The sequence below is a fragment of the Homo sapiens genome, chromosome 11 (assembly GCF_000001405.40).
Source record: "Homo sapiens chromosome 11, GRCh38.p14 Primary Assembly".
Taxonomy (NCBI): Eukaryota; Metazoa; Chordata; class Mammalia; order Primates; family Hominidae; genus Homo; species Homo sapiens.
In genome coordinates this window covers 126960835-126976715 of record NC_000011.10, presented here as the reverse complement: position 1 = coordinate 126976715, position 15881 = coordinate 126960835, and the positions used below count along the sequence as shown (strand labels likewise).

Sequence of the window (15881 nt, the reverse complement as noted above, 5' to 3'; positions counted from 1 at the left end):
TACAGCATATTATCTGACACATAGAAAAATTCAATAAATATTAACTATCACTATAATAATGATGATGCTTATGGTATGTTTAAAACAAATCTGATTACTAGATTCAACAAAATTAACTTCCCAGAACACTGAAACCGTTTGAAAATATGATCCTGGTACCATTCTGGGTGAATAATAGTCAAGAAATACTGCAAAATAGGAGAGTCTGGAAAAATGTCACACTTTTTAAAAAAGTAAAATTGTAGATGACAGTAGATTCAGAAACAGTGGACAGGTAAACATATAAATCTCCAGAAAAAAATCTGCAGGAGATTAATGTAACGGTTCATAAACACTCAGAAAATAATCTGTGGTCCCTGGAAGCAACCTTTGGCTTGCTAAAAGCAAGTGATGCTAACATCTCATTTAAGAAAAATAATATGTCATTATAATTTCATAATCTGTCTCTCCTTTGTGATGTTGTGTTATTCACAAATTTGATAAACAAATTTTCCTCTGTCAGGTATATTGCAGGGTCTTAATTGGAGGAGTGTTATCTTATTGAAATCTCAATATGAGCTAACAATGTGGCATGGTGACAAATAATGTGCTTCTCAGCATCCTCTGTAGAAAGCGATGTGTTCATCTGGAAGATGCTAACACCCCCATGGCACCCTCTGCTGATGTGACCCACATCTGGAATGGGTATGCTCTGTCCTGAGAGCCACACCTTAGCCATTTACAAACTGGGGCATATACTGAAAGCTTGGATATGGGGACGGAGGGAAGGAAGGAAGGGAGGGAGGGAGGGAGGGAGGAAGGGAGGGAGGAAGGGAGGGAGGGAGGGAGGGAAAAGAAAAACCTGGGAATTATGTAATATGAGGAAGGTGGGAGGAACTTAGCGAACTTAGCATTATTAAGGCAGAAAAGCAAGACTTAGGAGTTCTTCAGGCTTATTGTGCATGAGAATCAACTGGGGTGCTTTTTTAAACTTGAAGATTCTAGCTGCTCCAGTCCCTAGATTTGTAGAGAGTCTGATTAATTAGTTCCAGGAGGGCCCAGAAAATTGCAATTGAACTACCATCCCAGGTGACTGTCATTCTTAAAGAAAACTGGCTTAGAAGAGAACACTATAACTGTCCTCAGTTATATAACAAGCCTCTTTTATGTGGAGAGAGCAGAATTCTAATCAACAAATCTTCCACTGGACTAGCAGCTACTGGAGGGTAGGAATACTGGTAGTCCCACTTCTGTACCCCTGGTTGTGAATATGGTTCTGGCACACAGTAGGTGGTCAGCAAATACTTATTTAAGGAAATTTCAGGGGGGTAGGAGAAAGAACCTTGCAAGAATGAAAGCTTTGTGAACATGAAGTAAGTGGGCCTTGTGGGCAGTCAACCCTCTATTCACAGCTGTCTTGACATGGAGGATGGATAATAGTGCATCAGAGATGACATAAAGGGGTTTGCTGAATTGGAAGAAAGCCTCAACTAAGGTGACCTCCAGGATTTTCACATTCTTACCACTCAGTTGAAGAAGTACAATACAGTTAGGTGCCACATAGCTGTTGGTCAAGGACCGACTGCATATATGACGGTGGTCTTATAAGATAATAATAGTGTTTTGAGGCCAGGCGCAGTGGCTCACACCTGTAATCCCAGCACTTCGGAGACAGAGGCAGGCAGATTGCTTGAGCTCCAGAGTTCGAGACCAGCCTAGGCAACATGGTGAAACCCCACCTCTACAAAAAATACAAAAATTAGCCACTGCACTCCAGCCTGGGTGACAGAGCAAGACTCCATCATAAATAAATACATACATAAATAAATAAGTCACATTAAGCCTTTAAAAATATATACAAAAATTAGCCAGGCATGGTGGTGCACACCTGTAGTCCCAGCTACTCAGGAGGCTGAGGTGGGAGGAAGACTTGAGCCCGGGAAGCAGAAGTTGTGGTGAACTGAGAACGTGCCACTGCACTCCAGCTTGGGTGATAGAGCCAAACCTTGTAGACTGGAGCAACAGGCTATACATGTAACCTAGGTGTGTAACAGGCTATACCATGTAGCCTAGGTGTGTAACAGGCTATACCATGTAGCCTAGGTGTGTAACGGGCTATACCATGTAGCCTAGGTGTGTAACGGGCTATACCATGTAGCCTAGGTGTGTAACGGGCTATACCATGTAGCCTAGGTGTGTAATGGGCTATACCATGTAGCCTAGGTGTGTAACGGGCTATATCATGTAGCCTAGGTGTGTAACGGGCTATACCATGTAGCCTAGGTGTGTAACGGGCTATACCATGTAGCCTAGGTGTGTAATAGGCTACACCATCTAAGTTGGTGTAAGTGTACTCTATGATGCTTACACAAAGACAAAGTCCCCTAACAATGCATTTCTCAGAACGTATCTCCGTTAAGTGATGCATGACTGTTATTGAAAACATTATTTGACTACAGCACAGAAATAATGAAGTCAGAGAGGTCTAGATAGGAAAGGAAAGATGGTGATGAGCTCTATAGAAAAGAGGAGTAAACATTTGAAACAAAGAGATGGACAAGTCTGTGGAAGCATGTTGCATAAAGTGCTTTAAATGTTTTACTTGTGGAGATGGCATTTGCAATATTTTGCATCTTATGTAACTGAATTCAACCCCTAACGTGCAATGAGTACCTCCTATGCACAGAAAGCAGAGCTAGATGTGGCACCTGCCCTCAGGGAGCACACAGGACAACTAAAGAAAACATGAGCCCTAGTCTTGCCCTTGGAACATGAATCTCACTCTTCTGGTAGGGAGAGAAAATGCAAGTACCACAAGGGAAGGAAAGGACATTATCTGTCACATAAATTGCTATATTCCCAGGATTTCAATAGTACCTGGCACAGTGGGAGCAACAATAAATATTTGATGAATGGATGAATGAATGCAACTAACATTTATTGAGTCCCTCCTTGCCAAGCAGTGTAGTGCATACTTTGTGTATATCATTACTCTTAATTCTTCCAAACTCTGTAAAAAGTATTATTATTCTTGTTTTACAGATGCTGAAATAAAAATGCTATTGAGTTGCTTGCCCAAGATCACAAACTTGTAAATAACAAAACTGAAGTTCTGAAGTTGAGTTTTCTGTCTCCTAAATTCACGCCATTTCTGCTAGTTCTGTTTACAGACAAGTGACTTGAGATTCAGAGAGGTGAAGTGACTTTCTTAGGGTCACCATGATAGTCTGTAACAGAAATGGATCTAGACCTAAGCTCTGAACAATGATTTCAGCAGCAGCCAGAACTCTTCATCACTTCCAAGTAGTTGACCTTATCCCCTCATGACTTGATTCCCCTGACCCCTGCAGTCCCTTGGCCTTCACACAGAGAAGGAATGCATGCCTTAGGCAGCTCTCTATGCAACTGAATGGTGGCCCCTGAGGCTAAGTCTACATTGGTTGGGTCAGCTTGAACTTGGCAATATGGGACTGTAATCTTGGTGATATAGAAGCCCTAAGAAGACTCCCTCAGCATAAAAATGAGTGGAATTGTATGCCAGGGCCATTCAGCCTGTTATTCAGAAACCCGTGACTAACATGCTCATGCAGATTGGCCTCGGGACTCAATTTCTGTCTTTTTTTTTTTTTTTTTTTTCCTCAAAACTTAGAGTTGGCAGTGGAATAAGTTGTCTGCTAAATTGTTCTCCAGTCTCTCTGGGTTCAGCAATGCCCTTAGTTATACAAATATAATTCCCATTGACTTTGGCTGGCGTCCTCCTTGAGTGAAAGGGTGAGTAGAATTTAAGGCTATCAACTCAACCAGAGCAGCACATTGTTCGTTCTTTTCTGTCCCTTTTTATGTGCACGATGGCGGAAAATGAAAAAATGACTTTTTTTCCTTTTTATTCCTCTGCAGTTGTTTTTAGCTAGGTGCACCATAACATTGATCAAGGTAAGGAAAGAAGAATATGTAGGGAAGGAAGAGAAGGTGTGTGTACATACATGTGGCATACACGCAATCAAATACGGACACGGTGTCAGGCAGGGTCTTTAATGGCAAGCAACAGAAGCCAACTGGCTGATTTAAATGGAAAACAACATTGGGCATGTCAGAAGAGCTGAGGAGCCAGGCTCTGTGGTGGCCTAAATAATATCCCAGACCGTGGTCAGAATGCCTGCTCCTTCAGTAACGTGACTGTGTTGATCTTTCCACAGCAGCCAGCTCTGCTGGAAGGAATATTGGCCTACCCTTTTCTCAGCATCACTAAGTCCTGTGGCTGGGCCTGGAAAGTGGGTCAGATTAGCAGTGACGGAATCATGGTGGCTTGCACTCTAGCTGCAAGGGAGGCTGGAAAAGCTAAGATTGGAATTTGTCAGCTTTTGCATAGAGTGGGAAGGAGTCCTTGTTTCCACAAAGACTCATAGAGGGAATAATTTACCCCCAATCTAGGAAGCCAAAAGGTATAGCAAATATCCACCCTGACACATCTGGAGACTTTTACCCTGATTCCTGGGGGAGATCAGTGTGTGTGGAAATGTGTATGCACAGTCCTCTCTCTCTCTCTCTCTCTCTCTCTCTCTCTCTCTACCAGACCCTCTTGCATAGGCACCAGGTCTAGGGAAAATGTACAAATTCATTTTACCCTGTGATATTTTCCAGTGAAAAAGGCACTGAAGCATCATGCCCTCTAACTCATCCGGAGATTTCAACTTTCCAAACAAGAGAAATCAGATGAGCTTGTGTGTCACTTCTGCAGCAGTGGGTTTATAGTTATGAATTGGATAAAGGGCCATGTAAATTCACAAACACTAATCTGTCTATCCTGGACTGAATGGATTTTTCTGACATTGCTCTTACCTCCTTGAGTTCAGTTGCTTGTCATCTTTTCTGTACCAAGCACTCAGCCCAAGTCACCCAGAACAGGCTTATTTGGAAAATCAATGCAAGTGAATCAAAATAAGCAAGATTTTCCTGCCTCTTCCCTGCAAGCTTTTTGAATGGACTATAGGAAAGATTCAGAGGACCGTCTTCGATGCCCTTTGCTAATTTGGGTTACAGACGATTTATGACAAGTTCCTTCCCTAATAATATCTTACATAGGGCCCAAAGTGAAGAATCGGACTGATGATATTTTCATTTCTGTGGTTCCTTTCAGTGCTCTCACGACAGGAACTCACTCTCCTATAGGACTGCTGAGTTAATGTAATGTGATCATATTTTTATGGGTGCCGAACTCAGTAAGAGAGAGACTCAATGATGCCAAAGGTCAAATGACAGCCTGGGAAGACAACACCCCGAACAGAACATAAAAACCCTGTCCAGCTCCCAGTGGTTTCTACAACTCTCATTTTCACACCTAGCTGTTATCTCTTCAGAATTTCCAAGCAATTTGTAATGATTACAATCTTTTAGATAAAGATCATTATTCTCAGGTTATAGCTGGGAAAACTGGGGCACTGAATGAGTTGCCTCTGTCACCTCTATTCATTCAAGAATCAGAAGCATACCTTGATGATTTTTCACTAATGGTTTAACCTCCCAAACATTACCCTTTTCATAATGTTTATTCAGTTTTGTTTCTGGAATTCATGTCATCAGAAATGTAGATAATACTTTGTACTCGTAAATAGTCAAAAACCACCTAAATAAGAATCTGCTTCTTTGAGGGAAATGACAAGAGATGGGAAGGAAGGCAAACACTGTTGAGAGTGGGGAACAATAAATAAAAGGAAAATGGAAAAGCAATGTTTACTAAACATGTTAAATCCTAAAACTACCTGTGCACCTCGCAGCTACTGTAAGGGAGACTGGTGGGTGGGGGAGAAGCCATAGCACCGCCATGTGCTTCTGTTTGTGGTTCTCCTGCTGCGTAGATACCTGGCAGCAGGTGAGCCTCATTGGATCCTAATTTGCAAGTGTTTCTATGGGTCCTTAGATATCACTTATTTGAAACTAGGAAAACCTTGTTCTCATGGAAGCAATGTTCTAAATTAAATGGAGTTCCTTCACTAATTCACAAAATTTTACTTAACTAGGGATGTGGTTGAAATGCTGTATGTTTATCATTTTACATATAATAGAAAAAATCCCATCACAACATTAGTAAATTCATTAGCAATTCGGTAACTGAGTACACAAAAGTAAAAGCAAACGTGTTCTGTGATTTGATACTTAATAAAAATCAGATTTCCTTAGATGACAATATACTGGTACAATTCATGACTTTTTTCTGGACCCTCTGTGGGGTTGACAGGGCACTGTAGGGGTTTTAAAGATTGATGGTACTGGTTACTTTTTGTCTAATGTCGCTACACACCTAGGGTCTTCTGTTTATTGGCACAACTATCACTTAACCTTATGCCTACCTATTTGTGTTTAATGTAGTGTTTAATAAAGAGCAGTGTTTCATAAACAAGATAATGTGAGAGAGAAAAGAAAGGGAAGAAAAGAAGGAAAAGAAGAGAACTTCCTGAGAAAGCTCAAATTAAGAAAAACAAAAAGGAAACCAAAGGAAATGAGTAAAAATACGGGGAAACAAGAGTGTCTTAAGTGGAATTAACTGAGCTGTGAAGAGCGAAAAACTGAAAGAAGAAAGAATTTTTCAAATGCATGATATATCCCTGAGGGGGCAGGGGCAGTGGTAGAGAGGCTGCATTTTCCTGTTCCGTCCCTAGGTGACAACCTAGGGCAGCTTGGCTGTGACTGGTAGAAGAAGGCTAATTTTAGCCAGATTTTCTTTCGTATTGCGTTGTCTTAACTCAGATAGAGTCATACACTAGTCACATTAACACAAAACTTCCTTTGTTTCCCCTCAATGGTTTTGCTGGAACTAACTACCAGCCCTACAAAATTATTTTATGAATGTGTTTGGACTCCAGCATTTTGCATTTCCATGCAGAGTAGAGAGAAAGGAGAAGAGAAGGGAAAGGCTGTCTGCTACCTTTTTCCTTCCTTCAATGGCAGAATCCCGGAAGGCACCAATCTCCAGCTTTGAAGGGATCTACAAAAGTGAGCCAGGTCCCACTGCAAAATTATTCAAATAAGCCTGTGTCATCAAGGGCGTGGAAAAGCATCATGGCTACCATCACAGTTCACCCGAGCCTTTTCACTTCTCACAGGTCTTTCCTGCCTTATTCACTTGGGTAGGCTGTGCCGTGGGGATATTTCTTGTGTTCTCCTGTGGGATTGCTTGGCTGGCTCTGAACACACCATGCTCCATTGCTACCCACAGCCTCCGCCCTCAGGAGACGTTCTTACTCCCTCTTCCCCTGGTTCACACCTGTTCATTCTTCCAGATACCGCTGGGTGTCACCTCCTCAGTGGCTTTTTTCCCTCCTCTGAGTTCCCATAGCACCCCAAACTTACCTCCACCTTCACACCTGCCACACTGCAGGGAATTGCCCAGGCGTTTTCCCCAGTGGACAACTCTCTCCTTGGAAGGCCAGCATTCCCAAAGATAGGACATCTGTCTATCCCTTCATTCCCTGTGTCCATGGGAGGCACTCCATGTCTATTGTGTCAGTAAATGGAGTGAATCGCCCCTTGACTGCGGTATCTACGGACTCTTTTGCCCCAGGCCTGTTTTCGCGGTTTAGAAGTCGTTTGATTGGCCCCTGAGCGCCCTCCTCTGTCTTGAGCAGGAGATGACTGTGCAATGCACCTGATTCCCTCACACGCGAACCTCAGACGCCCCCGCCTGAAGTGTTACTTCTGACATCTATGCAAGGAGAGGCAGGGTTTTCCCGTATCTGCAGAGATACTCAAAAATGTAACCACTCCTAACCTGGAGAGTCGAAGGGACCTCAGAGGTTGTCCAGTCATGCCCCGTTTTTTACAGATGAGGGAACTGAGTCTCAGAGAGGTACAGTCCTTTTCCTAGAGTCACACAGTAAGCTAGTTGGTAGGTGTGGGACTGGGACTTTCATCTACTGCCCCTGCCCCTTTCTCACTGCAGAGCCCCATCCTGTAGAGTTCCTGATTTGTGGATACCAGACAGAGCCTGCACCTGGGATTGAGTGACCAAAAGGGGCTGCCGTGTTATAAATGGGCAAAATAAATATAGCAGTTTACCCAGCTTAGAGCAGCTTTCTTCAGGAGGAGCTGAGCACATTTAATAGGGCACTTGTAAACAGGAGCAATTTGAATAGTTTCTCCAGCACGCTGTTAGCATTTATATGTGCCCCATTTCATCTGTAATCTGCTTTTACAAGGCGCTGGTGAGCCTTTGATGGCAGCAATGAATGACCCAGACAGCTTCATCCCAAATGTTCAAACTGAGCTGAAAATTTGGGAGAATCTAAGGTATTCATCTCTGTAAAAAATCCAAACCCATTGATTGAAATTGCTCTTCTCCGTCCTGATACATTAGCCTTTCCTTCTTTTCTTCTTTTCTTCCCCCTTTCTTTCTTTTGCATTTTGCCATTACCATGTTCTGGTTATTGCCTACATCTGGAGCATGGCAGCTGTCCTGTAATATGCAAGCTGTGGCATGTAATTTGGAGAACTTGAATACATATATCTGTTAATTAAAAAAAATACAGAAGCATGTTTGTCAGCTTGTAATTATGTAAAGAAGAACACCAACTCCCAAACTAATTTGAAAAGCAAAATGAAAATAACTTTACCAACAGCTTTACAAAATCCAACAACTCTACATTTAGCTATTAACTTTTTTCTGAGTATCCCAAAGTCCTTTGCAAATGTCTATGAAGTTTCTTTGGGGGAAGCAAGTTGGCCTAGTAAGATAGGCAGGAAAATAGGGCTTGGCTGGTAGTCAGGTGGCTGGATTCTGTTGTTTGTCCTCTTACTATAAATCTGACAAGATTTCTCAACCTTGGCATTATTGATATTTTGGGCAGGGTAATTCTTTGTTGTGAGGGGTTGTCTTGTGCATTGTAAGAGGTTTAGCTACCCAGTATGTGCCTGTAGCAAGCCCCCTCCCCAGCTGCGACAAGCAAAAATATCTCCAGACATCACCAAGTGTACCCAGGGAGGGAGTGGGAGAAAATCGCCCCCACCTGAGAACCACTACCATTTTCATTTGCTGTGTAATGTGAAGAAAAAGAGCCCAGGGCTCACTTTCAGAAGGCTTGGGCTTGAGTGAACATTGCCTCATTCTGAGGACACGATCCTGGCCATTTCTCTGCGGTTGCTTCTTTGTCTCTGAGATGGATGTAACAAGTCCAGTGGTGGCATTTCTCGGGGTTACTGTGAAGATCAGCTGAGATGTGGAGATTTTTCAAATATAGAAAAGGGCACCTGAAGGTTAGATGTGATCATTATTATTATTGCAAGGCAGCTCCTGAAGTGAAAGGCTGCAGTTTGGAGGCCAGAAGGCAGATCTTCCCTGTGGGAAGTTATTCCCTGGTAGGAAGCAACCTGTTGACTTTGGTCTCATTAGCACGGTGCTCTCCTGTTCTCTAAGGTTCCAGGGGCTGTTAGAACTTGCAGTGCTCTTTGGAGGGATGTGCGGGCATGGTGAAGGAGCACCGAGGAAAGTAAAATTGCTGAAGAAAAGCTAATAGAAATAGAACAGTGTTACGCACAAAGAGGAAGAGCTGGACAAAGGGTTCCAGTCTCTGCTCCAGGTGTCAGAGGTGTTTGAGCTACTCAAGCTATTGTCAGGTTGTACAAACATTGAGCTCCGGGTCAGAGAAAGTTTCAGAGTCATTTCTAATGGCTTTTGAAAGTAAAGAGATTGTCAGCTCTCTGGGCTTACAGAGAAGGCAGGTAGATGGATAAGATCACCTCTCAAATGCCCTTCTCGCTCAAGAATTCTGGGATTCTGGGTTTAGGGCTAGGTCTTCTGCAATCTAAACAGTTTCTTATTTAATTTACAGATTTCTGTGGACTGCATTAATAAATAACAGTCATTCTTGTTTACTGAGGACAGCTCTGTGTCAGAAAGTGTGCTGATTGTTTTAGGTTTATTATCTTCCTGAGAGTTCTGTAAGGTAAGCATTATTCCCATTTTACAGATGAGAAAACCGAGGCATATACAGGTTAAGTAACTGTCCACGGAGCAAGTCTGTTGGTATCTTGGCCATGCTAGTTAAGAGAAGGGCCAGTGGCATGTCTCTAGACTCAAAGCACCCAGCCACCTCCAGAATGAGCCCATTAGTATGCCCTAGAGAAGAGTCACTGAGATGCTCCTCACAGACAGAACTAACACGTCAGGCACACCACCTAGGTCTCCTTCGAGAGTACACCACGGTTCTGCGGCCTAAAGTGTGAAGGCCAGGCAGTATGTGAGAGTTTAGGAGGATACCATGATGTAAAATATAAAGCAAGGATAGGAGGGAGAAACTGACAGCTTGAGTGGTGCACACTCAATCAATACGCCCAAGATAACAATTTCTGCAGAACAGCAGCTTGCTTATTCAGGTCCCCAGGAGACGCATGCTGCTCTGACAATCGGCAAAAATTCTGACTCGATACAGATCTTTTCATCTCCAGCCTGCTTTTGCCGACTTTTTCCTTTTACATTATTAAATATTAAACCCTGTAAACACTTTCATTTGTCTGTACCTTATTGTCAGTCAAATTACCGTTTGTAACAGTATCAGATCATATTGGTATCACTTACTTATCTGGGTAACAGCTACAATTCCAAAATCCTATTGCAGGATAAAATAATGAGGTATCTAAGCAGCTTGGGGTCAAAATTCCTAAATTCTTTCCTCAGACCCTGGCATCAGCTAACCATTTACATCTCTTCAAGTCAAATTGTTTCCTTTTCAAGTGAACCAAATGGTCACACTCTCAAGACCCCATTTGTTCCTTCCAAAGATTTAAAGTAGATTGAAGTAACTTTGAAAACTCTAAATTCTACAAGTTGAGGCCAGTCCACTCAAGTACCTACCTGTGGATTACATGGCACAACCTCAAAGCTGCTGACCTGATACCCACACACATCGAGTTCTGTCACCTGTCTGGCTATCATCGCTGGCACTCTGGAAGCACTCACTCTTTTCTGATGTTAACTCTCCAGAGAAAAACAACAAGGCCAACGTAAAACACGGGAAAATAACGCACTCCAAAGTCAGAAGGAAATAATATTTATTGATCTTCTTTTGGCTGAGGTTTCGATTATCCATGGCTCTGACCTCTCCATCAGCAAAGAACCAAAATTTTATAATATTTAAAGCTCAGTTTTGAGACAATGCAAAAGCAGGGATCACTGGATCCGTGAATTCAAATGGCAATGACGCACGTGTTAGTCTTTCACAATAGGGTTCCAGGATACTGGTTTCTCAGTACCAGCATCTTGTTACTGAGAAGAGGTATTGTATGAGAATTAGAATGTGATGATAATGATTATGCAAATACATGGATAAACCAATCTGTTCCTTCCCAGTGACCACTAACACACTCTTCACTTCTTAAGAGTTGAGTACCGATGTCCAAAGGTAGAGTTTATCATGGGTAAATGCCGAAAAGCATCTCTGTAAATAAGCAATACAATTGAACAGCCTAAGTAGATTTGTGAACAATGGGATATAAATTAACTAAATGAAAGTAATCAAACCAAGTGGACTTATTAATTTGACCAGGAATGTTAATTAAGACACTGTTCTGTAGACCTTTGCTCATCCCCAGAGCTCCTAACTCACACTTATCTCCATTTTATCTCTCTGTTCTTGAGCCGCTTTTTCTGTGGCCTAGGTAAAATTACTTAACTTTTTCTTGGCTCTAATATCCCATCTGTTGAGTTGGGAGTACAACACTTTTATGCATCTGCTAGAGGGAGGTGCACTTTAATGAATGTTTGGAAAGTACTTTGAACATGAAGTGCTTAGTATTAATATTGCTTTCCAATGCCCTAGACAATCTAATGAAATAGTATCTTAATCTATGTCACAGCTAATTCATTTTCGAACTGAGTCTACTCTATACAGACTTCTGTTTGAGGGTCATTGGGAAGATTTATTCACCTTGGGGCAAATATTGACCTCCTGAGCCTCCATCAATATTTACCTCTTGGGTCAATAAATCTCAGTGTTGACCTTGATAAAAGTCAACATCTGCATAGAACCTCAGGGTCTTCTTCATCTGTGCTGCCTTCGTTCTGAGTCTGTCACTTGATTCTGTTCTAATAAATCCTATTTGCAGGAGTTTGTAGCACAAGCTGTTGGCAGGCCCTCAGGGGGTGAGGTTGCTGGGTGTACCCCTGGGCATTTGTGCAGAAATGCTGAGGAGAGATTATTGTAGTGTTTCTAAGAGAATTCCTGATCTTAGATTCTTATTTCTCTTCTTTGGAGGAGGGGTTCTAGGAGGACCTACCCAACATGGAATAAAGTGCAGACTAGGCAAACTCCTACTAGAGTCTGTCACACTGACAATTATATTCACTGAAGAGCTAAAACTATCTATCTATGGGGGAGAAGGGGGTGTTGCCCACATGCCACCCAGCCTGTGTCTGCAGATGTCAGACAGTGGACACCAATCTGACCATGCTAATCAATAACACTCTTCATGATGGAACAGATGTGTTGCTTTCACCCCAGATTATGAATATGGCTGGAATAGTCTATCAGCTGGGCTGGAATCCTCTGCTTTGTATGTACAGATTTAGTCATTCAATAGCTGTTCATTGAATATTTATTAAGAAACTACTGAGCCAGGCCCTGTGCACAGATGAAGTTTTTCTCTTTCTCAAACCTTGTAGTTGCCCACTAATTGCTAGAGATGGAAAATGAAAAAATTCATGAGATAGGTCCCTTGCACTGAAGGGATTTGAAAGTGTAATATGGATAAGTTGAGTGGCTTTCTAATTTTTTCTGTACCTCCCCTCGCTCAAATACACATCCCTCTTCCGTTATGGACAAGTGCAGGTGGGGAAATGGGACATGTGCAAATTTTTGGCATTGGAGTCATATCCTGGCTGGGCTGAGGAAAGTCATTCACTCCAGGGGTGGCACTTTTAACCACTTTCAGGTTAATCATCTCCAGACATGTTGAAGTAACTCATTGTTTGTAGTCCTCAGGGAGTAGTCAGGGAAGTTGCCTTGGCTGAAGACGTAAGAAACACATTTCATAAGTGTAGGAGGTATAGGAGGCCTTTTGGGGTATAAGGAGATGATATCCAAAAGGAAGAAGGGCAGTTGTGAAATTCCAAATCAATAGCATGCCTGCTGTGTTTATCATGTTTTGTCTTCGGGGTTTGAACTTAATTGCTTTCCATATAGATTCAAGTGGAGAGGATGGTTCGTCACAAAGCATTTTGTTCAGAAACGTTGCACAGATAAACAGATTTCTAGAATAAATGTATGTAAAACTCAAAACCCTGTCCAACACGTCTTATGATAAATGAGACTTTTTATGCATTTCCAGTTGATTTATCTTCTTTTAATGGGCCTATTTGCAAGCATCAGTGCTTCCAAACTTTCAAGAATCTGTGTGTGTGTCTGTGTGTGTGTCTGTGTGTGTGTGTGTGTGTGTGTGTATGTGTGTTCTGTTTGGTGAAGGATGGCAAGGGAGAAGGCTAACACTTCCTTTATTTCAGGAAACTAAGTGTTAGAAGGCTAGATCTCTTCCACAACTGTTCCTGTCTTCTCCATTATTTTATCAGTGCTCTCAGCCATTTAGGCTATAAAAGGTTATTTTTTATTTGGCTAGATCTTTCCAAACACAGGAATACCTCAGATATATTGCAAGTTTGGTTCCAGATTACTGCAAGGAAGTGAGCATTGCAATAAAGGAAATCGCACAATTTTTTTTGTTTCCCAGTGCGTATAAAAGTTATGTTTACACTATACCATAGTCTATTAAGTGTTTAATAGTATTATGTCTAAAAAGCAATTTATGGACCTTAATTTACAAAATCTTTATTGCTAAAAAGTGCTAACAATCATCTGAGCCTTTAACGAGTTATAATCTCTTTGCTGGTGGAGGGTCTTGCCTTAGTGTTGACGACTGCTGACTGATCAGGGTGGTGGTTGCTGAAAGTTGGAGTGGCTGTGGCAATTTCTTAAAATAAGACCACAGTGAAGTTGGCCATATCAATTTGAATGTTCCTTTCATGAAAGATTTCTCTATATCATGTGATGCTGTTTGACAGCATTTTACCCACAATAGAACTTCTTTTAAAATTTAGGTCCATCCTCTCAAATCCTGCTGCTGCTTTATCACCTAAGCTTATTGGATATTCTAAATCTTTTGTTGTCGTTTCAACTTTGTTTATAGCATCTGCACTGAGAGTACATTTCACCTCAAGAAACCACTTTCTTCGCTCATCCATGAGAAGCAACTCCTCATCCACTAAAATCTTACAAGATTGCAGCAATTCGGTCATATCTTCAGGCTTCACTTCAAATTCTACTTCTCTTGCTGCTTCCACCACATCTGCAGTTACTTCCTCCACTGAAATCTTGAACCCCTCAAAGTCATCCGTGAGGATTGGAATCAACTTCTTCCAAACTCCTATTAATATTGCTATCTTGACCTCCTCCCATGAATCATGCATGTTCTTAATGGCATCTAGAATGATGAATCCTTTCCAATAGGTTTTCAATTTACTTTGCCCATATCCATCAGAGGAATCACCATCTGAGGCAGCTAGAGCCTCAACAAAATGTATTTTTAAATAATGAGACTTGAAAGCCAAAATTACTTTTTGATTTGAAATAGAAATCAGAATGGGTGTTGTGTTAGCAGGCAAGAAAACAACATTAATCTTGCATATCTCCATCACAGCCCTTGGGTGACGAGGTTAAGTGTCAATGAGCAGTAATATTTTGAAAGGAATCTTCTTTTCTGAGCAGTAGTTCTCAACAGTGGGCTTAAAATATTCAGTAAACTAACCTGTAAGCAGATGTGCTGTCCTTCAGCCTTCATTGTTCCAATCTACTCTGCACAGGCAATAGGATTTTTAAAATGATAAATGAGCATTGGCTTTAACTTAAAGTCACCAGTTATGTTAGTCCATAATGAGAGGGACAGCCTGTCCTTTGAAACTTTGAAGCCAGGCCTTGACTTCTATTCTCTAGCTATGAGAGACCTAGATGGTGCCTTCTTCCAATAAAAAGTTGTTTCATCTACAGTGAAAGTCTGTTGTTGAGTGTAGCCACATTTATCAAGCATCTTAGCTAGATCTTCTGCATATCTTGCTACAGCTTCTACATCAGCACTTACTGCTTCACCTTAAACTTTTATGTTATGGAGATGGTTTCTTTCCTTAAACCTCATGAGCCAACCTGTGCTAGCTTCCAACATTTCTTCTGCAACTTCCTCATCTCTGTCAGCCTTCATATAATTTAAGACAGTTAGGGCCTTGCTCTGTATTAGGTGTTGGCTTAAAAGAATGTTGTGGTTGATTTCATCTTCTATACAGACCACCAGAAGTTTCTCTATAGCAGCAATAAGGCTGTTTTGCTTTCTTGTCATTTATGTATTCACTGGAGTAGCACTTTTAATTTACTTCAAGAGCTTTTCCATTGCATTCACAACTTGGCTGACTATTCGGCACAAGAGGTCTAGCTTTAGGCCTATCTCAGCTTTTAACAAGATTTCCTCACTAAGCTCAGTCATTTCTAGCTTTTGATTTAAAGGGACAGACATGCGACTCTTTCACTTGAACACTTAGAAGCCTTTGTGGGGTTGCTAATTGGCCTAATTTCAATATAGTTGTGTCTCATGGAATAGGGAGGCTTGAGGAAAGGGAGAAAGATGAGAAATGGCTGGTTGAGGGAGCAGTCAGAACACACACCACACTCATTGATTAAGCTCACCATCTCATATGGTGTGTTTGTGGCACCCCAAAACAATTACAATATTAACATCAAAGATCACTGATCACAGATCACCATAATAGCCCTAATAATAATGAAAGTATTTGAAATATTGGGATAATAACCATAATGTGAGACACAAAGTGAGCACATGCTGTTGGAAAAATGGTTCCAATAGATTTGCTGGACAGA

At 41.6% G+C, this 15881-nt stretch overlaps 1 protein-coding gene across 17 annotated transcripts in view, besides 1 other annotated feature; it reads left to right on the top strand.

Moving 5' to 3' along the window:
* The window catches only part of KIRREL3 (kirre like nephrin family adhesion molecule 3), a 580037-nt gene that overhangs the window by 26679 nt on the left and 537477 nt on the right, over window positions 1-15881 (top strand). The gene's annotated exons all lie outside the window — the stretch shown is intronic.
* Window positions 7218-7751: an enhancer, noted in NCBI's record as "NANOG hESC enhancer chr11:126838861-126839394 (GRCh37/hg19 assembly coordinates)". NCBI's record gives its function as "activates a minimal SCP1, AML or CMV promoter by ChIP-STARR-seq in naive H9 embryonic stem cells {active_cell/tissue: H9 hESC(naive)}" and the evidence as "EXISTENCE:reporter gene assay evidence [ECO:0000049][PMID:30033119]".